The 26,166-nt window shown below is 45.8% G+C and overlaps 2 protein-coding genes across 23 annotated transcripts in view, besides 1 other annotated feature; one reads left to right on the top strand and one right to left on the bottom strand.

Annotated features, from left to right (window-relative positions):
* Positions 2,797-3,116: an enhancer, noted in NCBI's record as "active region_23680". NCBI's record gives its function as "activates an Ori minimal core promoter by ATAC-STARR-seq in GM12878 lymphoblastoid cells {active_cell/tissue: GM12878}" and the evidence as "EXISTENCE:reporter gene assay evidence [ECO:0000049][PMID:35858748]".
* KIAA1191 lies at positions 2,829-18,575 on the top strand. Of its 15 annotated transcripts, NM_020444.5 has the most exons (9): positions 2,872-3,034; positions 4,718-4,825; positions 5,069-5,155; positions 8,887-9,065; positions 11,888-12,014; positions 13,899-14,023; positions 16,280-16,386; positions 16,573-16,715; positions 16,828-18,574. In NM_020444.5, the coding sequence occupies exons 3-9, from the start codon at positions 5,128-5,130 to the stop codon at positions 17,034-17,036; spliced, it is 918 nt and encodes a 305-aa protein (NP_065177.2). In that variant the 5' UTR covers positions 2,872-3,034; positions 4,718-4,825; positions 5,069-5,127; the 3' UTR covers positions 17,037-18,574. The 15 variants fall into 15 exon arrangements, 10 of the variants coding, with proteins under 10 accessions (XP_005266003.1, XP_016865140.1, NP_065177.2 ...); XM_005265946.5 differs by lacking the exon at positions 4,718-4,825 and having other exon boundaries at positions 2,829-3,034; positions 5,069-5,174; positions 16,828-18,575; NM_001079685.3 differs by lacking the exon at positions 4,718-4,825.
* A 71-nt stretch (positions 18,576-18,646) lies between these two features.
* The window catches only part of SIMC1 (SUMO interacting motifs containing 1), a 107,566-nt gene continuing 100,046 nt past the window's right edge, over positions 18,647-26,166 (bottom strand). For 7 of the 8 annotated variants that reach the window (NM_001308196.2, NM_001308195.2, NM_198567.6 and 4 more), the window contains one exon: positions 18,647-19,453. In NM_001308196.2, the coding sequence (NP_001295125.1) occupies positions 19,191-19,453 (263 nt within the window). In that variant the 3' untranslated portion in view covers positions 18,647-19,190. The remainder of the gene's footprint in view (positions 19,454-26,166) is intronic. The other variant, NR_131772.2, reaches the window with a different exon arrangement.

Below are 26,166 nucleotides of genomic sequence, written 5' to 3'. Positions count from 1 at the left end.
CCTATTCCTTCTGATTTGTCCCCCTTTCCCTTTGACTACATATATATGCTCCTCTCCTCCCAGATAGTGATGTTTTAGCTACATCTTATTTCTTCCGGCATTGATTCTTTTGAAAAATTTATTTCTGGCCGGGTGTGGTGGCTCATGCCTGTAATCCCAGCACTTTGGGAGGCCGAGGCAGGCGGATCACCTGAGGTCAGGAGTTCGAGAATAGCCTGCCTAACATGGTGAAACCCCATCTCTACAAAAATTAGCCGGGCGTGGTGGCACGTGCCTGTAATCCCACCTACTCAGGAGGCTAAGGCAGGAGAATCGCTTGAACCCAGGAGGAGGAGGTTGCAGTGTGCTGAGATTGCGCCACTGCCCTCCAGCCTGGGTGACAGAGCAAGAATCCGTCTCAAAAAAAAAAAAAAAGAAAAAAAAATTAGCTCCTCCTCAAAAATACACCCACTTAGAGGGGAAAACCCACAAAATTGCTAAGATTAAAAGTTTGGCTGGTGCGGTGGCTCACGCCTGTGATCCCAGCACTTTGGGAGGCCGAGGCAGCCGGCCGGATCACGAGGTCAGGAGATCGAGACCATCCTGGCTAACACGGTGAAACCCCATCTCTACTGAAAATCCAAAAAATTAGCCGGGCGTGGAGCCGGGCGTGGTGGCAGGCGCCTGTAGTCCCAGCTACTTGGTAGACTGAGGCAGGAGAATCGCTTGAAACTGGGAGGCAGAGGTTACTGTGAGCCGAGATTGCGCCACTGCATTCCAGCCTGGGCAACAGAGCGAGACCTTGTCTCAAAAAAAAAAAAAAAAAAAATGTTTACAGTCTATTATTTGTGGAAAAGAAATAGGTGCTCTCACATAGGTGCTATGCACCAAGACCATGACAGCTTCAGACATTGGTACCACAAATATCAGGGATAAAGTTTTTTTTTTTTTTGAGATGGAGTCTCACTCTGTAGCCCAGGCTGGAGTGCAGTAGTGTGATCTCAGGCCTCCCAAAGTGCTGGGATTACAGGCATGAGCCACCACACCCAGCCAGAAATAAATTTTTCAAAAGAATCAATGCCGGAAGAAATAAGATGTAGCTAAAACATCACTATCTGGGAGGAGAGGAGCATATATATGTAGTCAAAGGGAAAGGGGGACAAATCAGAAGGAATAGGGGCTGGGACCCAGAGCCAGGGGTACAGAGGAATCGCGAACTAAAAGGAGGTGAAGAGTTGAGACAATATAAAGGGAAAGAGGTAGCCCTGCTGGGCCCTGAGAGCCACAGGCGGTCTCTCAACCCATGTACCCTACAGCCAGCCGTACATGGCGTCACCCCTCTGGAGAGCCAAAAGAACCCGACTGCTGTACTCAGGTCGTTTCTCCTGTTCTTCCTCCTCGTGCTACACACGTGGAAGCCTTGGCAGTCACTGGGGGTACCTAGGACAAGGCAGACTGCAGCCTCCGTCTCCCAGGTTCAAGAGATTCTCCTGCCTCAGTCTCCAGAATAGCTGGGATTACAGGCACCTGTCACTACGCCTGGCTGATTTTTGTATTTTAGTAGAGACGGGGTTTCGCCGTGTTGGCCAGGATGGTCTCGAACGCCTCAGCCTCTGAAAGTGTTGGGATTACAGGCCTGAACCACCGTGCCCAGCCAGAAAAAGTTGTTTTAATCAAATAGTAACTTCCAGGAAAGTCTTAAGTTTTCATGTATTTGTGGCTAAGAAATAAATGAGATGATCCCACCTTATGATCTACATAAGGGTGCAAAGTGCTATTTCTTCCTTTTCTGACTGAGAGGTGATATACATCCCTTCCTGTGGTGGATAAAGAGCAAGGTGCCAGCTTTGCTTCCACAGAGGTTAAAAAATATGGCATATTTTAAAAGCTCCAAATTAACAAAGGAACACCTTTAACACACACACGCACGCACACATATACACACAATTATACTGCAATGTAATTGTGCTGTTGATAAGCTAATTATAGAATTCATCAAAGACTTTAATTCTTAGTGCACTCAAGCACCCTGGTCTGGAAACAGCGCTTAAGTTTCAAGTCGCATGAGCAAGGCCTCTCAGTTCTGCCAGTACGGCTGGAAGCCTCAAATGCTGAAATCTAAATGTGACATTCACCCTGCACCACCAATCATAGCTCTCCTGAGATGAGTTTTGATGGCGAGCTTTGGACTGGGGTAGAAACGTGGATAGATTTTTGCAAATTCTGCTGTAACTTCGTTGCTTCGCCTTCTTTGTGAACCCTTCAGGGATAAGAGAAGTCTTCCTTCAGGATGTGACTGACACCTCAGCTGGCGCCTCTAAGCCTCACTCTCCTTTATGTAAAAGAGAAATGATATTAGGATCGCCTTCCCTAGGGGAGGCAGGTGAGGTCGGTTCCCTTTTTTGGTTCAGCTACTAGTACGAACCCTGCCTAACCCCGCTGTTTTGGGAGACAGTCCGTGCTCACTGCACCGCTTGCTAATCGAAGTGACTTCTCATCTCTCCCAGTCTCAGCTTCACCTCCGTGAAGTGGGAAAAACAGGATGACAAGTGCTCGCACTTGGCAGCCCTTTTTGAGCCTTGAGGGCTTGGGTTTGTGGGTGTCATTTTACTATGCTACCTCCGTCTTCCCTTAGCTTGTCACGGACCCAGGCACAGCACACGCGCTGAGGAAGTGGTGGTGAAGTGTGGCGTTTCCTCTCGGGGCTGGCGGATTCCACACTCGGAGCTGCGGCTCCACAACTCGCTGGGCGGCGAAGGGCATGGGGAGGGGGCGGGTCTCGCGATCGTGGACAACAACTCCCAGCATGCCCTGTGCTCCGCTGGGCCAAGTCTCGCGCGAGATCCCGCGGTCTCCGGAGGCTTTATCTGCAGTGCTGCCTGCCCGCTGGGTGGTACTGCTACCTAGTGGGTCTTGGGGACCTTCGAAATCGCCGCCGCTCTCACAATGGCTTGGGTCCAGACTGCGCCACAGCCTCTCGGGAGACGTGGGCCCTCGGAACCTTTTTAGTGCCGGACTCCGGGCCGCAGGCAGTCCCGCGGCAGCAGGATCACAGGTGAACAGATGGCGGGCCTGGGCCCTCCCTTGGGGCTGCGTTCTCTGGCGATCAGGAGGGGCGCTTCCGGCGAGGCCCGATCTCGGGGCCCCTCCAAGCCACTCCCCTCTCCCCGCACCTCTTAACCCTTCATCCCGGCTTCGAGCTCGGCTGGGTCGCCTCTTGCCTCCCTGGCTCCGCTCTCTGGGGTCTCCGTAATGGGGCTTCTCTCCGGGAATGCCCTGCAGCTCCCGTACGGGCTTCCCCTCCGCTTCGTGGGACCAGCCCAGCCCGAGCCCCCGCGGCTTGTCCTCAACCTCATCTCCCCACACCCCGCCTTCGGCTAGGGTCCTGGCCCTAATCTTAGCCTGGAGGGGTGGGTGAAGCAGCCGGCCTTTCGTATCCTGGCGGCACCGTCTTGTATATTGTGAAGGAGAGGCAGAGGGACGGTGAGCTGGGGGGTGGGGGCACAGGGAAAGGGAAAGGGGAAGGGGACGTGTCTGGGGCGGGAATGCTCCCTGGACTGGGAGGATGGCTGAATTCGGCCTTTGCGATGCTCGTTAGTGAAGAACTATCAATAACTTGTTTGCTCTGTCTGAGTCCTATCGGGATAGAGGGACGGTGTAGCAAGCTGAAAAACAAGAGTAACTTTCTCAGGCCCTCGTTTTAACTCCCCTGTAAACTGGGCATGAAACTACCTACCTTGCGCACGGACCACTTATCTGTGACCGTGGACAAATTTACTTAACTCCTCTGATTTTTAGTTTCCTTCTCTTTATTATTATTTTTAACATTTTTTTAATTTTTTTAATTTTTATTTTTGAGACCGAGTCTCACTCCGTCGCCCAGGCTGGAGTACAGTGGCTCGATCTCGGCTCACTGCAACCTCCGCCTCCCGGGTTCAAGCTATTCTCCTGCCTCAGCCTCCCGAGTAGCTGGGATTACAGGCGCCCGCCACCATGCCCGGCTAATTTTTGTATTTTTAGTAGAGATGGGGTTTCACCATGTTGGCCAGGCTAGTCTCGAACTCCTGACCTCAAGTGATCTGCCCGCCTGGGTCTCGCAAAATGCTGGGATTACAGGCGTGAGCCACCGCACCCGGCCAGTTTCCTTCTCTTTAAATTTGGGATAGCCTTTCTGTAAGAGATAGCTTAAAAAAAAAACTGGGGTCGGGCGCGGTGGCTCACGCTTGTAATCCTAGCACTTTGGGAGGCCGAGGTGGGCGGATCGCAAGGTCAGGAGATCAAGACCATCCTGGCTAGTGCGGTGAAACCCCATCTCTACTAAAAATACAAAAAATTAGCCAGGCGTGGTGGCAGACGCCTGTAGTCCCAGCTACTTGGGAGGCTAAGGCAGGAGAATGGCGTGAACCCGGGAGGTGGAGCTTGCAGTGAGCCAAGATCGCGCCACTGCACTCCAGCCTGGGCGACAGAGTGAGACTCCGTCTCAAAAAAAAAAAAAAAAAAAAATTGGGATTGGGATAAATAATATCTGCTTTGCCATCTTGCTGCAAGGATTAAAAGACAAGATAAACGCTGTAAATAGTTTATAGTGTTAGCTATAAAGAACAAATTTCCCTACTGTAGTATCTAGCCGCTTGCTGTGAGTTAAGAAAATGAAATGAGCAAGGTTGTTGTGGGGAATAAACAAGTGTTTGGCAGACTCTGACGGGCTGTTCCAATGCTGGCTGTTTGTTGTTATTAGAACCTCTGGATGGACTCTTCCTGGGAAGCTTTGCTACTTTGCAGCAGCTGGACCATGTTCCTCATTAACATCTGTCTGTCCGCTTAGTCATCACATCATTTCACTGTGGTAAGGTGACTTTTTCACCATGTATGGCATCTTAGCTCTGTCATCTCACAGGTGTTAAGATCAGCCACAGGTGTGGTGAGACGTTTGACTTTATCCTTCTTTTTTCATTGGCATGTTTGTCACCCACTGGCTCTTGCATGTGTGTTTCAACCTTGTAAACAAGCCGTTCAATTCTGTGTGCCTGCCAGAAGAACAGCATTGGTGCTGCTCACCATAAGAAAATGCCCTTTGTTATTTTATTAGGTGGCAGGGACTCAGCTCGGAATTCTGTATAGAAAAAGCACCTGGATCCCAGTCTTTCAATGGCTTCAAGACAACCAGAAGTGCCTGGTAAACTTAATTCTTTTTGGTAAAATCATGTTTTGCCCTTATTAATGTTTTAAGCTAGACAGAAACCATTTTATCGGAACTATATATTAATGGTTAATCTCTGCTACCAAGCGAGTATTTAGATTTACTAGATTGGCTTATTTTATTTTATTTTATTTTTTTGAGATGGAGTCTTGCTCTGTTGCCCAGGCTGGAGTGCAGCGGCACAATCTCGGCTCACTGCTACCTCCGCTTCCTGGGTTCAAGCCATTCTCCTGCCTCAGCCTCCCCAGTAGCTGGGATTACAGGTGCCCGCCACCACACCCAGCTAATTTTTGTATTTTTTGTAGAGACGGGGTTTCACCATATTGGCCAGGCTGGTCTGGAACTCCTGACCTTTTTTTTTTTTTTTTTTTTTGAGACAGAGTCTTGCTCTGTCGCCCAGGCTGGAGTGCAGTGGCGCGATCTCAGCTCACTGCAAGCTCCGCCTCCCGGGTTCACACCATTCTCCTGCCTCAGCCTCCCGAGTAGCTGGGACTACAGGCGCCCACCACCATGCCCAGCTAATTTTTTGTATTTTTAGTAGAGACGAGGTTTCACCGTGTTAGCCAGGATGGTCTCGATTTCTTGACCTTGTGATCCGCCCGCCTCGGCCTCCCAAGGTAATGGGATTACAGGCGTGAGCCACCGTGCCCGGCGGAACTCCTGACCTTGTGATCTGCCTGCCTCGGCCTCCCAAAGTGTTGGGATTACAGGTGTGAGCCACCACGCCCAGCCAGTTTTATTTTATTTTTGAGTCTCACTCTGCTGCCCAGGCTAGAATACAGTGGTGTGATCTCAGCTCACTGCAACCTCCGCCTCCTGGGCTCAAGTGATTCTCCTGCCTCAGCCTCGAGTAGCTGGGATTACAGCTGCCTGCCACCACGCCCGGCTAATTTTTGTATTTTTAATAGAGACAGGGTTTCTCCATGTTGGCCAGGCTGGTCTCAAACTCCTGACCTCAGGTGATCCTTCCACCTTGGCCTCCCAAAGTGCTGGGATTACAGGTGTGAGCCACCACGCCTAGCCTTAGATTGGCATCATTTAAATATTTTATTAGCCGCTCAGCCATAGTATGAAACTTTAACTTAAAGAGAATAGTCACTTCATTTAAGGGTATTATGACAAGTTTGTTACTTTCCTAGTTATCAAATAATAATTCAGAATAAGTTGTGCAGTTCTTGTAGTATGTACCAAAGTGATTAAACTCACCTTTTTGGGGGTGATGGGGAGGTGGGATGGAAGTCTTGGTAAAAAGGCACCAGCCTGCTTAAATGGCAGATTGAACTTAATCATGAAAATGCTCACAGCAACCCTTAATGAGTCAAGTTCTGGGTTATTGACACCATTGATGACTACTTGAATTGTTTTATGAGAAAGGAAAGTGATTTTTAATTACATCTGAATCGCTTAATTTCTGATTCTCGGTAAAGTATGATGATGAAGAAAGATGATGGTTCCTATCTCTCGGGGTTGTGAAGATTAAACAAAATATGTAAAAACAGGAGTTAAAAATCAGTGATAAATATGTATTTACTGCCCAGAATGCATTTGGTCTGTCTTTATATGAACATATTTTCCAGTAAATACTAGCTGACTTTATTTGTTTTAGGATGGCTGTTCAGTGGGAGTCTTTAAGATGTTTTTGAAATTGCTCCCCAAGTCTCCCGTATTCCCCAATATAGATCCATCTCTAGTCTTAACATCATCAGCTCCGTTTTAGTTTGTCTTTCATTGTTGCTGTGATTACCACAAACTCCGTGTAGCCGTCGCGAGCCATAGGATTGTGCCCATTCAGTGAATGCTTTGTAGTGTGTTGCATGCAGAGTGTGTGCACCGGCTCAGGTCTGTGTTCCAGTTCCCAGCACACTCTTTCAAGCTAGGTGATATTGGGCAAGTTGATTGTGAAAATGGAAAATTTGAAAATGGGAAGAATATCTGCTTCATGAGGATTAGATAAGATGAGGGATGTAATTGTCTAGCAAGGAGGAAGACTTAGTAATTATTATTTGCTTGTGTGTGTGTTTGAGATGTAATGCACATATCATAAAATTCACCCACTGAAAGTGAACAATGTCGTGATTTTTAGTATATTCACAGGGTTGTGCAAACAACACTACGATCAATTGCAGCACATTTTCTTTTCTTTTCTTTTTTTTTTTGAGATGGAATCTCGCTCTGTTGCCTAGGTTGGAATGCAGTGGCACGATCTTGGCTCTCTGCAACCTCCGCCTCCTGGGTTCAAGCAATTCTCCTGCCTCAGTCTCCCAAGTAGCTGGGACTACAGGCACGTACCACCACGCCTGGCTAATTTTTGTATTTTGAGTAGAGATGGGATTTCACCATGTTGGCTAGGCCGGAACGCCTGACCTCAGGTGATCCACCCACATCAGCCTCCCAAAGTGCTGGGATTACAGGTGTGAGCCACCACACCCATCCAAACTGCAGTACGTTTTCATAACCTCCAAAGGAAAACCTCGTACCATTAGCAGTCGTATCCTCACTCCCCCCACCCACTCCCTGGCAACCTCTAATCCTCTTTTTATTTCTATGGTTTTGTTAATTATTACTAATAGCAATAGTAATAATAATGATAGCTGCTTGGTCCCCTTGCCGTTTAAATGAAACCTTTTGTGGTTTTGGACTTATTGCCAGGCAGGTTGATGTCTTAGAGAGTGTTATTATATGATTTTAGCCACAGGAAAATGTTACCTTTCAGGTAGGTTCTGGACATTAGTTCTGATATGCAAGGATTAGCAAACGAAACACAATGAACTTGGCTCCCTGGTCTGGCACAGCTGAGAGTGCCCTTGAATGGGGTGGCTGCATCACAACCCGACATGCTGGGCGTCAGTTCCAGTGGACAGGAATGGCAGGATCAGCTGGTGATTTGTGAGAGTGGTTGTCAATAATTTCTGTGATGGAAAGTGACTCTACTGTTTAAATAAATCATACAGAACAGTGATGCCACAAACATTTCTGTTAGTGCTGGTGTTTTCTTTGGTGAGGAAAGGAAGGTAGAGGATTCACAGACCTTGGCTGAGCCCCAGGTAGCCATTTTCTGAATGAACTTGGGAAGGTCACTTTACCCCTAGGCCTTAGTTTCCTCATCTATGAAATGGGAATGAGAACTTCGTATCCTCGGTCATTTCATATCCTCAGTCTTGCACGAACTGAGAGCCTTAGTATTGCAGTAGGGGGTGGCTTCTGTGGGATAAAGGACACAGCTTTGAAATCAGATAGGTTTGGTTGGGATTGGATTCCAAACTGTACTTTGAAGTTGTGGTCAAGTACCTTTAAATGGAACTTCAGGTTTCCTGATCCATGAAAATTAGCTGGACATGGTGGCACATGCCTAGAATCCCAACTACTCGCTAGGCTGAGGCACTTGAGCCCAGGAGGTTGAGCCTGCAGTGAGCCGTGATCGTGCCGCTGCACTCCAGCCTGGGCAACATAGACTGTGTCTCTAAACAAATAATAAAAAAAAAGGATTAGGACGGCTGAGTGGGTTAAGTGGACCACCCAAGGTGTCAGGCATAGAGGAAGGGATTGGTACCACTGCCTTTCCTGGATGGGATTAGCTACTCCAAAACAAGCTATTTTGCTCTGTTCAAGAACAAGAGTATTTCAGAGCTTTCCTTCCTGTAGATTAATTTAAAGCTGCTAGTATGTCCAGTTGCTGAACCTGTCTTGACAGGTGTCTCTGTTCTTAGCTCTTGAGGCTAGTGCGCCTCTAGGCAAGATGTCCCTGCCCATCGGGATATACCGCCGGGCAGTCAGCTATGATGATACCCTCGAGGACCCTGCGCCCATGACTCCTCCTCCATCGGACATGGGCAGCGTCCCTTGGAAGCCAGTGATTCCAGAGCGCAAGTATCAGCACCTCGCCAAGGTATCTGACCCTGCTGGCCATTTCTGGCATACGCAACCCCTTTGTCCTTCCTCTGCTCCAGAAGCCTTCAGTGGCTCCCTGTGCCCATGGGACTGGGCAGCAACCACTCCCTGTATGTGTTTTCTGTGCCTCAGTTATAGCTGTCTTTTTTTTTTTTTTAAGATTTTATTTATTTTGTTAAAAAAAAAATCAGTAGCTTTAGGGTTACCCGAGGTGTTGTTCGCATGGATGAATTGTATAGTGGTGAAGTCTGGGCTTTTAGTGCACCCGTCACCCGAATAGTGTACAGTGTACCCAATAGATGGTTTTTTAAATCTCCCTCCTTTTTTTTTTCTTTTTAATTCAAAACTAGAATGGCCTTGTCTGCTCCTGAGACTCTTCATATTCCCCACAGAGCTAAATCCAAGCTCAGCATGATCCACAGTCCATGTGATCTAAGTCCTGCCTGCATCTCTCCAGCTCCCCTACCCAGTGCTTGAACTGTGCAAGTTACCTAAAATTCTTGCACTTAGCAGCGTATTTTCTGCCTGTCAGTTTTTGGCTCACACTGCCCTGATTGTTTAGGATGTTTGCCATCCACATCCTGTCCTCTCACCTTTTCTCCCACTCCATTTGCCTGAAAACTGGTATCCTTTAAGTCTTAGCTCAAAAGTCTCTTCTGTGACAGTTTTCCTGACATCTCCGTCCTCCTGATAAGGCCATCACCTCTCCCTCTGAGCTCCCCACGGTACCATGGTCCCCGTCGTCATCCCTGCATTGCTTTCTCGCCCTCCATTAGCTTCCTGAGGACAGGGGCCATGTCTAGGTTTGTACTCTTATCTGCAGGATCCAGCCGATGGCCTGGCATAGATTCCCAAAAACTGCTCATTTTGTGATTGGGGAAAAAAATTGGCCCTTTCTTGAACACATGCTGTACCTGTCCTCATGCTGTACCTCCAGCCTCAGCTGCCTTTGCCCATGGCCATCCTCTGTAAGAACTGCCTCCTTCCTAAGGCCCTTCCGAACATACCTCACAGTCCTTCGTGCAGTCTAGTTTCGTAGGTTCGCATTATTGGAGCCTCTGCTTCCCGACCTCAGGGACTCTCTCCCCTCTGACTCTCCAGCCACCAAGAATACAAGAAAGGCTAGACTGTTGCCTGAATAAAGTAGGCCCGCCAAGTTCACGTAAGGCTGTTTAACCTGTAGCTACAGTTTCTCTGAACTTTGAGCCACATGGTAGCTCAGGGCCTGACAGGCAGTACACAGTAAGGGTCCACTGAAATAGGCCTGGGTGTGAGTCCCAGGTGGTCTGCCCTAGCAAGACCTTGGGCACACAACTTTACCCTGAGCCCCAGTGTCTCTCTCTGAGAGTTGGGAATACCTTATGTCATAGAGGTGTTGTGGGGATTCAGTCAGGGGATGTAAAGGGTTGGCACATTGTGTATTAGCTGTGTAGCTGATATTATGACTGCAGGCTCCCTGCTTAACTTTCTCTTAGTAGAGCCATATTTGATAATTTCTAAGGAGTGTTTTTCCCCCCGCCTCCAACAGACTTTCAGGGCAGACAGCTCCTTTCTAAGAAAGTGCCCCTACAGCTCTGGGGGATATTCCCTCTATCAATTATCTACTGAAATATGACCCAGTCAGTTGTTCAGGGAGAGTATTCCATGTAACAAGTAGCAAAAGTGCAGGGAGAAAAGGCCTGCTGCAGCTTGCCTGTGATGTCAGAGCAATGGGCTTTAGGGTCCAGAGCAGGAGGTGAGCAGGGCTTCTGGTGGTGCTTGCCAGGCCACACACCCTGCTGATGGCTCCACAAGGCAAGGGATGAGCGGGCTTCCAGATTTCTTCTGGGCCTCAGCTGGAACAGCTGATGGCTTGGAACAGCTGCTCCAAAGGAGAGCTCCGCTTGACTCATTGCATGCGATCCTATTCATTTGCCCTAACTCTCCCCATGTTAGGAATCAACCGTCTTCCCAGTAAGGAAACAGGCTCAAGTTTTACTCAAGGTCACAGCTTAAAGGTATAAATTCTGTTTTGTAGTAAGGATACAACATTTTTCATTACTTTTTATCTGTCCCCCCTTTTCAACCATCTTACTTTCTTCTCAGTTCTTCCAGACAAGCACAGAATAAAGAATAAGTCTTGTTCTCTCCTCCCTGCTAGGCCTGAGCAAGGTATCAGGTGTTTCGATTGCAGAAGGTGGAGGCTGCCAGCTCTTGCAGGTTGAAAATGAGGAGCTAAGTAGATTTTTTTTGTTTGTTTCAAAAGACCATTACTTGAACCTTGGGAGCAGTGGTCCTCAAGGTGTGGTCTTGGGACCGGCAGCATCAGTAACACCTGGGAATTTATTAGAAAGAAATTCTTGAACTCCACCCCAGACTAACAGGGACCTACTGAATCAAACTCTGAGGTGGAGCCCGGCAGTCTGTTCTAATGGCTGGCACAGGGTCAGAACCACTTAGCCAGTGCTCTCATCAATTAAGATCTAGCATAGTGCCTGGGATGTGGTCAGTGCTTCGTAATAAGCATTTCTTCTGCATTCTTAGGGCATAGTACTATAGTATATCGGAAGATCATAGTCTGGGAAGGTAGTAGACGTCAGAGCTTCAAATTCTGGCTTTCCCACCTTTATAAATGTAAACTATTCACCTAATGTCTTTCTTTGTTGTCTCTATGGATAATACCTATCTAGCTGGGTGGAGATGACCAACTCCTCCCTTCAATGATTTCCTCACTTACCAGATTAATGTTATTTCAGTAACTTCCTCCCCAAAGGAGTAAGTTTAGGTGTGTGACTCCCCTGCCCTGCCTAAGTGCTTCTGTACTGTACCTCTCTTGAACAGGTGGAGGAAGGAGAGGCCAGTCTACCCTCCCCTGCCATGACCCTGTCATCAGCCATTGACAGTGTGGACAAGGTCCCAGTGGTGAAGGCTAAAGCTACCCATGTCATCATGAATTCTCTGATCACAAGTAAGCACTCTTCACCCTCAGAGTAGAGTGCCATAGGGGCAGGGAAGAGTTGAGGCTTCCTACAAGCTGATTGGAGATGATACTGCAACACGCTCGCCTTACCTTATCCTAAAAAATGTCAGTTTGGCTGCTGAATCATGTCAGTATTGAAGCTCCATTTATTAAGTGGAAGATTTGCCAAATGTTAAGCATCTTATCTGATTTAGGTGCATTCCTGCTGCTTTGTTGATATGATCTCATGTTCCCAGCTCTGTCACTGTGGCCTTGGGCAAGCTACTTAACTACAGAGACTGCCCCGCTCTAAAATGGGGAATTTCACTGGCAGGTTGAGGTGAGGATCAGAAGGCCCAGTGCTCAGTGGCGGCAGCTGCTGCTGTTACTGTTTCAAGCTCTGCTGGAGAAGGGGAAACATCCGGGCATTTCCCACTTACCCCAGTTTTTGTTTTTTTTTTTGTTTTTTTTTTTTTAAACAGCTCAAAGTTGGTCTACCAGGAAGAGGACCAGGTCCAAGTGTCTTTAGTCTTAAGAATGTATGATTGGTCATCCTAATGAAACCTGATATGAGAACTTGGATTTTTTTTTAACCTTATAACAAGCTAACTAAACTTCTTCATTCTGGAGGGCTGTACAGGTTGCTGTGGGAAGTTAACAATTAGATACATGGCTCTGTTTGTCAGCAGTTGTGCCCCTACCAGGGTAAGGTACATAGAGGTTCTCCTTGGTTGGCTCATTTTTGAAGTCAGAAGCCCTTGTTTATCTTCTCCAGGAGGGCATCAGTTTGTCCTGGGCAATTCCTAGTGAATTCACCAAGAACCAAAGGTCCAGACTCTTACTTTGGTTTCTCTTCTTTTTTTTTTTTGTTTTGAGACAGAGTCTCACTCTGTCACCCAGGCTGGAGTGCAATGCTGTGGTCTCAGCTCACCACAACCTTCGCCTCCCAGGTTCAAGCAATTCTCCCACCTCAGCCTCTGGAGTAGCTGGGACTACAGGCGCCCACCACCACGCCTGGCTAATTTCTGTATTTTTAGTAGAGATGGGGTTTCACTCTGTTGGGCAGGATGGTCTCAAACTCCTGACCTCGTGATCTGCCCGCCTAGGCCAACCAAAGTGCTGGGATTACAGGTGTGAGCCATCACGCACCACCTATACTTTGATTTTCTTATTCACATCTGTTGAATCAGCAACACTACTTTTATTTTACAAGCTTGAGAATGTGTTCTAGCAGTGTTACAAAACTTATTCATTGTTCTTTTAGCACAATGTAACTTTTTTTTTTTTTTTGAGATGGAGTCTTGCTCTGTCGCCCAGGCTGGAGTGCAGTGGCACGATCTCGACTCACTGCAAGCTCCGCCTCCCGGGTTCACGCCATTCTCCTGCCTCAGACTCCCGAGTAGCTGGGACTACAGGCGCCTGCCACCACACCCAGCTAATTTTTGTATTTTTAGTAGAGATGGGGTTTCACCTTGTTAGCCAGGATGGTCTGGATGTCCTGACCTCTTGATCCGCCCGCCTTGACCTCCCAAAGTGCTGGGATTACAGGTGTGAGCTACTGCATCCAGCCCCATGTTGCATTTCTAAATACAAAGAAAATGTCACCATGTACAACTAAGAGGAGGGTGGGAGTATTGTCCTCAAGGTTCTTCAGCTGTCCCTTTAGGAATAACCTCTTCAGCTTGGTGTGAGGGAAGGCTTCCTTCTGGCTAGAGAGCCTTTGTGTGAGGTTCAGAATTACTGCTGTGGTGCCTCTCTGGGGAAAGTCTCCTCTTCTTTGAATGGTCAGTGTGGTCTCTTGCTTCTGGGGAGAATAGTAGATATCCATGTTGTCCTCCTTATTTTGTGATGGGAGAGGGGAATGGGCATGACTGTCATCTCCTCTGTTCCCAGAACAGACCCAGGAAAGCATTCAGCATTTTGAGCGACAGGCAGGGCTGAGAGATGCTGGCTACACACCCCACAAGGGCCTCACCACCGAGGAGACCAAGTACCTTCGAGTGGCCGAAGCACTCCACGTAAGCTCTTAGGAACTTTGAAAAAACAAAACCTTCAGTGTTCATGGCTTGAAATGTGGCTGTGGTTTTGAAGTTACCAGCTCAGTTAGTTGGGGGCTGTGGAGTTAGTCTCGCTCCCGAGCTCTTAGCCTCGTAGTTTTTGCTTATCCACCTATACAGTGGGGTGTCTGTTTTGCTACTTCTGGTTAGCAGAATCAAGTGAGAGCCTCAGCTTACATATACATAGGAGTACTTTATGAATCATAAAGCAAATGTGGAGTATCTTGGGGAGAACTGGGCAGCCTCAACAGAGGTAACAGCTTAACTGGAAAGGAACAAGTTAAAATCAAATGTGGAATTGGAATGTTTTTGCTATTTCATTTCTATAAGTGAAGAATTTTGGTAAGGGTTAATTTAGTGATAGCCAAGTATTTGAATGAATAGTTTCAAATGACTTTCTTTCAGTGAAGACCGCTTCATACTGGATAGTGTTTTATGATTGTGAAGCACTTGCATTCATTTCATCCTCACAATCACCTTTTGGGACAGATGCTCTTCTCCATATTTTGTAAATGAGGAGATTGAGGTTCGAGGCCATCTATTCAGCCAGTCATAGTACCCGAACCCAAGTCTCCTGATGCCTTACTTCCTGTTGGCTTCTTCCTCCTCATTCCAAAGCAGCCTGGAAATCTGGCTCCTGAAGGGGCTCATATGGAAGTCAGGGGCAGATTGTGAAGAGACACAATTACAGTTAAGAAACTTGGGCTGTCTTCTTTAGGCAAGGGGGGGTCAGAATCCAGGCTTGTTCCAAGCTTTATTTTAAGAGTTCTGAACAGGGTATGATGAGGGCAAGGTGAGGAGAGCACACGACGCAGGAAAGAATCATGGTATACATTATACATAACGAGGAATAACCCGGATCTGGTGGCCTGTGGGTGGGGATATAAAACTGTGGATATAAAACTGTGGCCTGTTTGCAGTCACCCAGGCTGGAGTACAGTGTTGTGATCTCGGCTCACTGCAACCTCTGCCTCCCGGGTTCAAGTGATCCTCCCAACTCAGCCTCCCAAATAGCTAGGATTTACAGGCATGCGCCACCATGCCCAGCTGATTTTTAGTAGAGATGGGATTTCACCATGTTGGCCAGGCTGGTCTTGAACTCCTGACTTCATGTGATCCACCTGCCTTGGCCTCCCAAAGTGCTGGGATTACATGTATGAGCCACCGCACCCGGCCCTGTTTGCATTTTGTAATGAGCATTCCAGATGATTCTTTTGCAGGCTAGGTTTAAAAACTGCTATAGGAAATCAGGTTTGGGCTGGTGGCCAGTTTAAGCTTTCAAACAAGACAGAAGCTTCCAGAGAGGGGCACCGGCAGCCTTTGACCCTTAACTGAGAACTTTCCAGGATAGGTCAGTGAGAATTCTATTTGAGCAATTCACCTTATATAATGGTAGGATTGACTTTGGTTGACCCACTTTCTGTGTCTTGCCCATAGGAGTAGAACATGAGGATGGCTGAAATATTAGCTGTAACTTACATCTTGTAACAGATTGTCAACTTACATGAATGGATCTGTTGAGCGTTTGAGAAAATTCAAACGTGATCATTGTTTGGTGTGCAGCTTGGGTTAAGCAGTGGCGTGGCAGGCCTGGAGGGAGGAAACAGCATGGGAACCTTGCTCTAGAAGAGCTGAGATGTAGACCTGTCTCTCCCCACTAGACTGCGAGTCAGAGGAATGCTCACGGTGCTGAGGGAACCCAGAGTGGCTGACTATGGGAGAGAAGGAGGAGAGAATGGAACAGGCTCCTCAGAGGAAGCATTTAGCTGGAGAGAAGCAGCATGCCTGAGTATTGGCTTGGAGAGACTGAGGATGGGCAGGGCTTTGTACATGGTAGGAGCAGCAGCGAGACAAGAGCTTAAGCCCTGCTTAAAAGGCCAAGAAGGCTGGCAGCTAGCGTTCTGGCTCTTCCATTTTACTGTCTGGGGGAATGTGGGGAAATTACTTCACGTTTCTGAAAGTAAAAGTTGTAGTGTAAAGCTTTAAGTACAGGGATGTTCATGATATAGTGTAGAATGAACACATTTTTTAAGGAGATGGAGTTCCATCTAGTATGGCAAAAACAAAGGACTACCTGTTAGATCATCCGAAATCATTCCACCTGTAGATGTCTTCTGCCTAAAGTTAGAATGCGAACCAAATTTTTTATGCCTAGACTTATCTGTTTGGAATTTGCTTTCATTTTTAAAAAGTCTCTCTTCTTACCCATCTGAGCAGAAACTAAAGTTACAGAGTGGAGAGGTAACAAAAGAAGAGAGGCAGCCTGCATCAGCCCAGTCCACCCCAAGCACCACTCCGCACTCTTCACCTAAGCAGAGGCCCAGGTGAGCCCTTCCTGTGACCCTTCCGAGTTCCTGCGTGCTTCAGGAAAGCTAGTGTGGCAGATGAGGTTGTATTTAAGCCTGTGGTTTCAGAGGGAGAAGGGATAGTTCCCTGTTCTTTTGGTGTGAGACATTTCTAGGGGCGAAGGAAGAGGTATTTTAGGATATGTTTTGTTCTTTCTTTCCCAGGGGCTGGTTCACTTCTGGTTCTTCCACAGCCTTACCTGGCCCAAATCCTAGCACCATGGACTCTGGAAGTGGGGATAAGGACAGAAACTTGTCAGATAAGTGGAGCCTCTTTGGACCGAGATCCCTTCAGAAGTACGATTCTGGTAAGGCAGCACCTTCAAAAAAGAGAGCAGCATGGCAGACATCTTACCATATTGTATACCGGGAGCTGTTTACTGGTTTTGAAATCATTTGCACTCTGGTTCACTTTTGTAGGAAGTTTTGCCACCCAGGCCTACCGAGGAGCCCAGAAGCCCTCTCCATTGGAACTGATACGTGCCCAGGCCAACCGAATGGCTGAAGATCCAGCAGCCTTGAAGCCCCCCAAGATGGACATCCCAGTGATGGAAGGAAAGAAACAGCCACCACGGGCCCATAACCTCAAACCCCGTGACCTGAATGTGCTCACACCCACTGGCTTCTAGAGCCCTCTTTCCAGGGATTCTGGTAAAGGTGGTTTCTTGCATCCCACTCCCCTTTTACCTTGGCTTTGACATAGGAAAGGTATATTTAAAAACTTAATCAGCTGGGCGTGGTGGCTCACGCCTGTAATCCCAGCACTTTGGGAGGCCAAGGTAGGTGGATACCTGAGGTCAGGAGTTCAAGACCAGCCTGGCCAACATGGTGAAACCCCGTCTCTACTAAAAATACAAAAATTAGCTGGGCGTGGTGGTGGGCGCCTGTAGTCCCAGCTACTTGGGAGGCTGAGGCAGGAGAATCGCCTGAACCCAGGAAGCAGATGTTGTACCGAGCTGAGATCATGCCATTACACTCCAGCCTGGGCGACAGAACGAGACGCCATCAATAAATAAATAAATAAAGTAAAGTAAAAAACCTATTAAATTGAGGCTAGAGCTGGAGATGTAATTGGTTTTTGAGAAACATTAGTATAAAGCTTGCCCTTGTTGTGTGGAAGAAGCCATTTTGTACTGCTTTAAAGTTAGACTAATATTCTCAGCACGGGTGTATGGGGACCTCATTACCTATTTTTTTCATCATTTACCCTAGGTAAGAACTTTGATCACTGCTTACTAGGTAAAGAATGTTTGTACTGTTCCAAAACCCAGGCTTCTTTATTCCTTTACCACTATCCATGTGAGCATTGACAAATCATGGCTTAGAGGTGCTCACTGACTCGCTAAGACGACTTTGGCCCTGTTGATGACTGGTGCTGTGCTCCAGCCTTATCAGTTAGGGGACCCAAGGTTTGTTTGGGACCTGGGTACAGGTAAAAGCCAGACTTGGCAGGGACCCCTCTTTCTAGGCTGAACCTTGAGTCCCCCTGCTTTTTGGCAGACCTAATGGATCACTGTCTTGCAGCTAGTTCTTCATGTGGGGCCTCTTAGGCCAGTGCCGGAGGAGGCATGCTCCTCTTTCTATGCCACAGAACAAACACTACTCTAGCAGAGCCTTTCTTGCACTTTAAAGTGAGATTAATTTAGCTGTAATTTGGTTAAAAACTTCCTAAGAGAGAAAATTAAGTCTACTGATTTGGTATAGGTAAATGGACATTAAACTTTTTTAAAGTAAAGGAGATGGTAGATACCGTTAGATTATAGTCTTGAGGTTCATGTGAAGCCAGTGGTGTTAACTTACTTTGATTTCCTTGTTCAGGTCAGGGCCTGGAACGCCTGTGCGGGGAGGTCACTCAATTCAAAATTTTCTGTATGAAAGCATTTTTCACCAAAATGAGCCTCATCCCTTTATGCAACACATAACCTTACTGAGGGAGGGAAATACAGAAGCCACCTTTTTATTTCTCTTCACTGTGTACAAGTTCACTTGTTGTCTTGAACACTGTCTCAAATACCTGCTTTTTGTTTTGGATAGTACCTTGTCTGTATAAGAAGCTGGCCTTTCCATAGAGAGGCCCTGGAGTCTAAAATTATGAGAACAATTAATTTATTTGTGTCTTCTATTATGATCTCGTTTTGACAATAAAAATCCTTACTACTTTCTCAAATGTGGCTATTTTTTTGTCCTTTTAACAATAGTTATTCCACTCTACCCACCCAGAGTCACACTGAACTTGGTATTTTGAAAAACCATTGCCTTTTTATTGTCTCCTTTTAACATCAAATGTTTTATAACACACTTGATCCTTTTGTTTCTACCCCCTATTCATTACAGTCAAATTAACAGGCAATATAATAGGTCTAACAGAATGCTTGCATTTCATTAGGGAAAAATGAACGTCTCTCTCCTGAAACAGGTTGTCGGTACCTTGAATGACATAATATTGGTGTATAGACTAGGTTCAGCAGAGGGATTTTTTCCACATCTTGAATGAAAATGTTAAACATGTGATGCACAGAGTATTAACCTGTTTCAAAAAAGTATAGATAAATAATTTATTAAAAAATATATATACCTTGTATATTTAAGCCATATTTGAGAACAGGCTAGGATAGGATTATTTAAAAAAAGATATTTACTAGAGTTAGAAATTACAACCTACTGATTAAATAATGCAGGTTTGGTCCTGTAAGATTTTAACCACTTTTCATGCTTTTAGAGCTTCTGAGCAGTTGGAGAGAGAGTTCAGGAGGTATTCTTGGCATTCAGTGCTTGGCAGGCCCTCAGGAGCCGCTCCAGCCCTTTTGAAAGGGCTCTGCATCAGGGTTCAAGTCCGCAGCATAGAAGAGCAGGAGCTTCAACAAGTGCACTTTGTCTTGGAGTTGGGGGACAAGAGGCTCCCCCAGCATCTGGATCAGGCGGCTGCGGAAGGCCTCAATCTGCTTCTCTACGTCTACCACTGTGATGTCATCTCCTTGCTGGGGTTTGGGCTTAATCCTTTTGATTATTAAGTCCTTTCGGTCGATCACGGAACTCCTTAAGTGTTCTGCAAGAGGGAAAAAAGTCAGTTGGGTGCTCTGAACTGCTTTTTAATTCTTTTTAAGAAGTCTAATTTTGGTAGGTAGAGTCTTGGCAAAGACTTGCTGACTAGCTACAGGGATACAAGTCGAAGGCTGTGTGAGTGCCTGCAGTAACTCCACTTCCAAAAGGCCCTTTGTTCTCAGTTCTCTCGGGTCCTTAAGAAGTTTTACATTAAAAAAAGTGATATGGTTTGGATCTGTGTCATTTTTTATGATCACATAACATGGTCAAAAAATGAAAATACTGAGGAAACAATTAGACATATTCATCTAGTCCATGTTTTAGCCAATAGTATTTAACATGAGTATGATCATGAATAAACAACTAGACAGTCCCAAATTGTAATCCCTGATGTTGGAGGTGGGGCCTGGTGGGGGTGATTTCTCATGAATGGTTGAGCACCATCCCCTTGGTGCTGTTCTAGTGATGGTGAGTTATCATGAGGTCTGGTGGTTTAAAGTGTTTACGTAGCACCTCCTCACTCTTTATTCTGCTGTGGCCACGTAAAACGTGTCTGCTTCCCCTTGAGCCACGATTGTGTTTCCTGAGGCCTCACTGGAAGCAAAGGCCACTATGCCTCCTGTACAGCCTGTAGAACTGTGAGCCAACTAAACTTTTCTTTATAAATTACCCAGTCTCAGGTGTGTGTGTGTGTGTGTGTGTGTGTGTGTGTGTGTGTATACTCCTGACCTCAAGTGATCCGCAAGCCTCGGCCTCCCAAAGTGCTGGGATTACAGGTGTGAGCCACCGTGCCTGGCCTACTCCATGTTCTTGTCAACAGTATTTAACATGAGTGTGATCACGAGTAAGCAATTAAACATCCCAATCATAGGACATGTACAAAATAACTGGCCTGGACTCTTAAAAAATGTCTATTATGAAAGACAAGTAAAAGCTGGGAACTGTGCTGGACTAAAGGAGACCAAAGAGTATGACTGCCAAGTACAGTGCTTCATATTTGACCGTATCCTGGCTCAATCTAAAATCAACTACCTAAAAAGTATATTACTGGGACACTATTAGATAATATTCTATCAAGAACAAGTTTCATGGCAGGCTGTGGTGGCTCATGCCTGTCATACCAGTGCTTTGGGAGGCGGAGATGGGCAGATCACCTGAGGTCAGGAGTTTGAGACCAGCCTGGCCAACATGGTGAAACCCTGTCTCTACTAAAAATACAAAAAAATTAGCTGGGCATGGTGGTGCATGCCTGTAATCCCAGCTACTCGGAAGCCTGAGGGTGGGAGAATTGCTTGAACCCGGGAGGTGGAGGTTGTAGTGAGCCAAGATCACACCACTGCACTCCAGCCTGGACGACAGAGCTAGACTCCGTCTCAAAAAAAACAAAACAAAACAAAACAAAAAAACAAAAAAAGAAAAGTTTCGTGAGTGTGATAATGCACAGTGGTATGAAGTACAATATCCTTACGCTTAGGAGATACATGCTGAACATGCTGAAGTACTTAAGCAATACAATTATGATGGCGCACTTATCAACTGTTTCAGAAAAAATGGTATATACATGGATCAATAGGTAAACCAAATGTGTCAAAATCTTAGAAGCTAATGAATCAGCGTAAACGGTATATATATGGGCATTCGTTATACTATTCTTTCTACTTTTCCGTAGGTCTAAAAATGAAAATAGGAAAACAAAAAGTTATAAAGGTATCTCATCCCAAATCTACAGGCCAGCCCCAATAGATTCTAGAAGTGTGTGGAATTGAGGCAAATGAGCAGAAGGTCACATTAGGCAAATGTATTGAGAGAGTTCTGGGGACTTGAAGACTTCCAGTTGCACATAAGTACACCATCATTTCTCAGTCTCCTCATTTATCAAACGGGGATGATGGCACTTTCACTAACAGTTATTAAAAGGACTGAGCTACACTGTATCCAGATTTAGGACACAGAACAAATCATTTTAAGTGGTATATCAGGTTACATTTTAAGCGGTTTATCAGGTTACATTTTCAAGTAATACATTCAATATGTTTTTTCTCAACCTTCAGATAAAATGATGGAAAAGCAAAATCTCTCAAAACTAAAGTCTGTAATCTGTGAAGAAGTACAGTAAGTATACAACAGCATGTTCAAAAAGTCTGGAAACACAGGAAACAAAGCTGCCTTGAGATGGAAGTGCAAGGCCCTTTCAACCTTCAAACAGCACACATTTACTGAGCACCTACTGCATATCAGGAACTGGCTAGAGTCTGGGGACACAGTGGAATTTAGAGCCTTGGGCCCAGTCCTTGTGGACTGATATTCTAGTTGCAGGAAGCCTGATGATAAGTTAGTCAACAATATTGATTATAGTTTGTGGCAAATGCAATCAAATAAATAAATCAGATGCTGTGATAAACAGTAACACTGAGGGGAATAAGGGAAGCAGCCCACTCTAGCCACGGAGGGTCTGTGAGCTGAGTATTGACGGATGAGGAGGCAACCATGCAAAGGTCAAAGGGAAAAGCAGTCCATGGAGAACAGCAATAGCAAATGTCCTGAGGAAAAGCATGCTTAGAGAACAAGACAGAAAATCAGGGTAGGAAGCCTTCTGCCGTGGTAAGACGCAGCAAGAAGTCCTTCCCGGGTGCAGCCCCTCGACCTTGGACTTCCCAGCCTCTGGAACTGGGTGGAAGCACTGGGGATGCATATACCACGTTAATGGCATCCATGGAAGGCAATGAAAATTACATTTGATACTTAAAGTGTTTCAGCTAACATAAGGTAATGACTTTATAAATCGAGAAACTTAAAAAAATCAGAGTAATAAAAGGGAGACAAGTACTAGATGAGATTGGAAGGTAGGGTAGGCCACATTATAATGTGGAGTTTGGCCTTTGAGAGCAAACAGGGTATCTATAGACTTAGAGGGTTGTAAATAGGGAAATATGAGCTGTTTTATTTGAGACTAGTTAGGAATTGTCTTAGGAAGAGCCTTTTTGTAGACTTTGATTTTCTTAAGGCATGTGCCACTCTGAAAAATACAAAAATGATTTTGAAAGAAGTGGAAAAAAAGTTGACTGAATAGGGTGGGACAGGGGAAACTTAGAGGGCAAGCAAGAAGAATGTGGAGTTTATTAAATCATGCAGGAAAGTTAAAGAAGCAAATGTTAGCAGTGCCCATCTCAGCACTGTCTATGGGGGAGGAAACCCTGGCCAGTGGACTTCAGCCCTGCTGGTCTAGTCAACAAGGCCTTGGATTTTATGCTTCGGTAGGGATAAGAGTTGTTATGTCAGAGGTTGCTGATTACTGTATGAGGACATTTAGCATTGAAAAGGGTTTGAGCCATAATGCCTGGCTCAAGATATTTCAGCTGATAGTATTGTTAGTAGTTTTGGATCAATACAAGAGTTAATTATTATTTCATCATCATCATCATCATCATCATCATCACTATAGGAATCTCCTACCTAATATGTCAAACCTGAGCTCTTCATCTTCTTTGCAGATCTTTCTCCATATCAGTAATGGCAGAACCCTGGGAGTCACCCTTCAGACTCAGTCACTTAAGAGCCCTGTCAAAGTTATCTTCAAAGTGCTTCTGTCCCATCCACTGCCTTCTCCACTGTCCTTCTGTCCTTGCCACACCCTTGTCACCATTACCCCTCCCCTGGCCCCTCTGGCCCTCTGCCAAATGATTCGCTACACATCAGGTAGAGCAGCCTTTAAATTTGCAGATCTGATCATGACACTCCCTTACTTGGAACCAACCACTTTGATGGCTTCACTCTGTTATTAGAACCAGCTGAATTTCCTTAGCATGGCCAAGATGGCCCTTCACAACCTCCTCCATGGACTATTCTAGTCTCATTTAGTGTTATTCTCCCCTTACTCACTACATCCTTGCCCTGCTAGCTTGTTCTATGTTCCTTGGACTCACTAAGCATCTTTTTGCCTCAAGGCCCTTGGACATTCAGTGCCTTCTTTCTGGAAAACTCTTGTCTCCCCATTTGCCTGGCTAACACCATTACTTCATGTCTTTTATTTATTTCTTTTTGAGATGGAGTCTTGCTCTGCTGCCCAGGCTGGAGTGCAGTGGCACGATCTCAGCTCACTGCAACCTCTGCCTCCCGGGTTCAACCAATTCTCCTGCCTCAGCCTCCCAAGCAGCTGGGATTACAGGCACCCACCACCACGCCTGGCTAATTTTTGTATTTTTAGTAGAGATGGGGATCTGCCATGTTGGCCAGGCTGGTCTTGAACTCCTGACCTCAGGTGATCCATCCACCTCAGCATCCCAAAGTGTTAGGATTACAGGGGTGAGCCCTTGCGCCCCGCCTACTTAATGTCTTAGATGAGGTATCACTTCTTCAGGGAGGCCTTCCTGGATCCCTCCAAAAATAGATTTTGTGCACTTGTACTTCCTTCATAGCATTTACTCTATGTAACTATAGGTTACTTGTATCATTATTCATTTAGGATCAATCTCTCCACTAAACAGTAAGCTCTGTGAGGGCAGATGCCATGCTGGTCTTATTCATTAAGGTTTTCCCAGTGAGCACAGAGGACAGAGAGGACATTCAGTAGATATCTGTTGCCTGGATAAATATATGAATTGAACTGATCCTACCTGCTTCTGCTTTTCCCCGTCCGTGGACAGGGCTCCTTGCAGGGAGACCGTGTGTGTGACTGGCCTCAGAATGACTGTGACTGACTTCTGCAAGCTATGCTGGCCAGATAAGCAGGATTCAGGAAAAGCATGCATTTGTTCATTGAAATATTATATGTTCAAATCCCTAGAATTCATACTCATAAACTCCATGACAGGCAGCACTTTGTAATTTTGCTGAGGCTGAAACTTGAGCCACATGGCTATGCAACTGGGGTGGGGGGGATTGATTCTCTCGGCCAAAGAACAAGAACATGAGCTCAATTGACAGCCCAGAATCCGTGTCTCTGACAGACCTGTTTGAATCCTAGCTCTGCATTTGCTTTTCTCTCAGCCTTTGTTTTCCCATCTATAACAGGGGGTGATACCTTCACAAGGTTTTTGGATTATATAAACCAGTGCAGGTGAATTTACCTAATCTCTTTTCCTTTCTTCCTCCATGCTGAGAGTTCCCCTAAACAAAAGGAAAGCTTGGGCTCTCTAATCCCTTCCCTTCTTCTCCCACTCTTGCAGCTAGACAACTAGTGGAGCTAGACAACTCAGACTGATCTCAAAATGCCCTCAACAACATCCACAGACCACTCGCAGAAGGCAGAGATGAGACGAAGGGCCCTCACAGTAAGATGCTTACTGACTGACAAGGACGCTGACTATTGCTGGGTACCATTCGGCTGTGTTCTTTGCAGGACAATGTTTTCAAACTACTAGTGCTAATTTTCCTCCTTCCTAACTCTTGGACCCCAAAGAAGCTGGAACAAACATTTAAGGATAAAACAGCACTGCAACACACCCCATTTATTCTTGGTCAATATATACTGGTTTGAGGCCTTTCTCTCTCTTATCAAAACATAAAAAATATTCTGTAATAAAAGTAGATTCCGTTTCCACCTTAAGTCATTATTGCCCATGATAGGTGTATTCCCCGGGAATCAAAATAGAAAGGAACAAGAAATGTTAAAGGTGAACTTTAAAACAAGCTGTTAATATTAACCTTTCTGGTAATCTCCAAAACAATTACATAAGCCTCACTGAGGGTAAGAACACATGGAACTTGCCTTCGGGTCTTTGTTTGGAGAAGGACATGCACCTTTCTTTGAGGGTGCTACAAATGCACAAACTGCACAACCACATATCATGCATGGACTGGACAACATACTCTTTTATTTTTTTTGAGACAGAGTCTCACTCTGTCGCCAGGGCTGGAGTGTAGTGGTACGATCTTGGCTCACTGCAACCTCCACCTCCCGGGTTCAAATGATTCTCCTGCCTCAGCCTCCTGAGTAGCTGGGATTACAAGACCCCGCCACTATACCCAGCTAATTTTTTTGTATTTTTAGTAGAGACGGGGTTTCACCATGTTGGTCAGGCTGGCCTCGAACTCCTGACCTTGTGATTCGCCCGCCTCGGCCTCCCAAAGTGCTGGGATTACAGGCGTGAGCCACCATGCCTGGCCGACAATGTACTCTTTTAAGTGTGAGTTACAACAGTCTGAAACACAGAGAAGACCCTTAGCCTACCTCTGCCCAGGGACGCAGGAAGACAGATTCAATGAACATTAAACACATTACTTTTTTCACTCATTAATAATCCTTGCAAGTTACATACTATCATCCCCATTCTATAGAAGGAAGAAACCGAGGCCTAGAGACACAGTTAGCTGCCCAACACTGAGTAAATGGTGAAGTTCGGATTTAAACTCAGACTTTCTGTCTTAAATCCAGTACTTTTTTTTTTTTTTTAAAGTCTCTACAACAGCTTTCTCAATTCCTGGCCTGAGAGGGTCTGAGAGCTATCTTACTTTCCCAAGTGCCATTACTGAGTTAAAATAAACATAAATATGATCATGGGCAGGTGTATTTCACTTGTATACTTTTTTCCCTCACTATTTGGGAATAAGTTGCAGACACTATACCCCTCTACCCCTCAATACTTCAGTATGGATTTCCTAAGGCCAAGGACATTTACTATCATAATCCAGTATGATTATCAAAAATAGGGAATTTAATATGGACACAATAATGTTATCTAATCTACTAAAGTTTTACCAATTGTCCGAACAATGTAC

Source organism: Homo sapiens, chromosome 5 (genome assembly GCF_000001405.40).
Source record: "Homo sapiens chromosome 5, GRCh38.p14 Primary Assembly".
NCBI classification, from domain to species: Eukaryota; Metazoa; Chordata; class Mammalia; order Primates; family Hominidae; genus Homo; species Homo sapiens.
The sequence above is the reverse complement of the archived record's forward strand: the minus strand, read 5'-3'. Positions and strand labels throughout refer to the sequence as shown.

What these genes read in the sequence shown, in the direction of transcription:
- KIAA1191 (NM_001079685.3), top strand. Translation starts at nt 5,128, where the DNA reads ATGGCTTCAAGACAACCAGAAGTGCCTG. An exon ending in AGTATCAGCACCTCGCCAAG is followed by an intron (nt 9,066 to 11,887) that starts GTATCTGACCCT and finishes TCTCTTGAACAG; the next exon opens with GTGGAGGAAGGAGAGGCCAG. An exon ending in CCTTCAGAAGTACGATTCTG is followed by an intron (nt 16,716 to 16,827) that starts GTAAGGCAGCAC and finishes TCACTTTTGTAG; the next exon opens with GAAGTTTTGCCACCCAGGCC.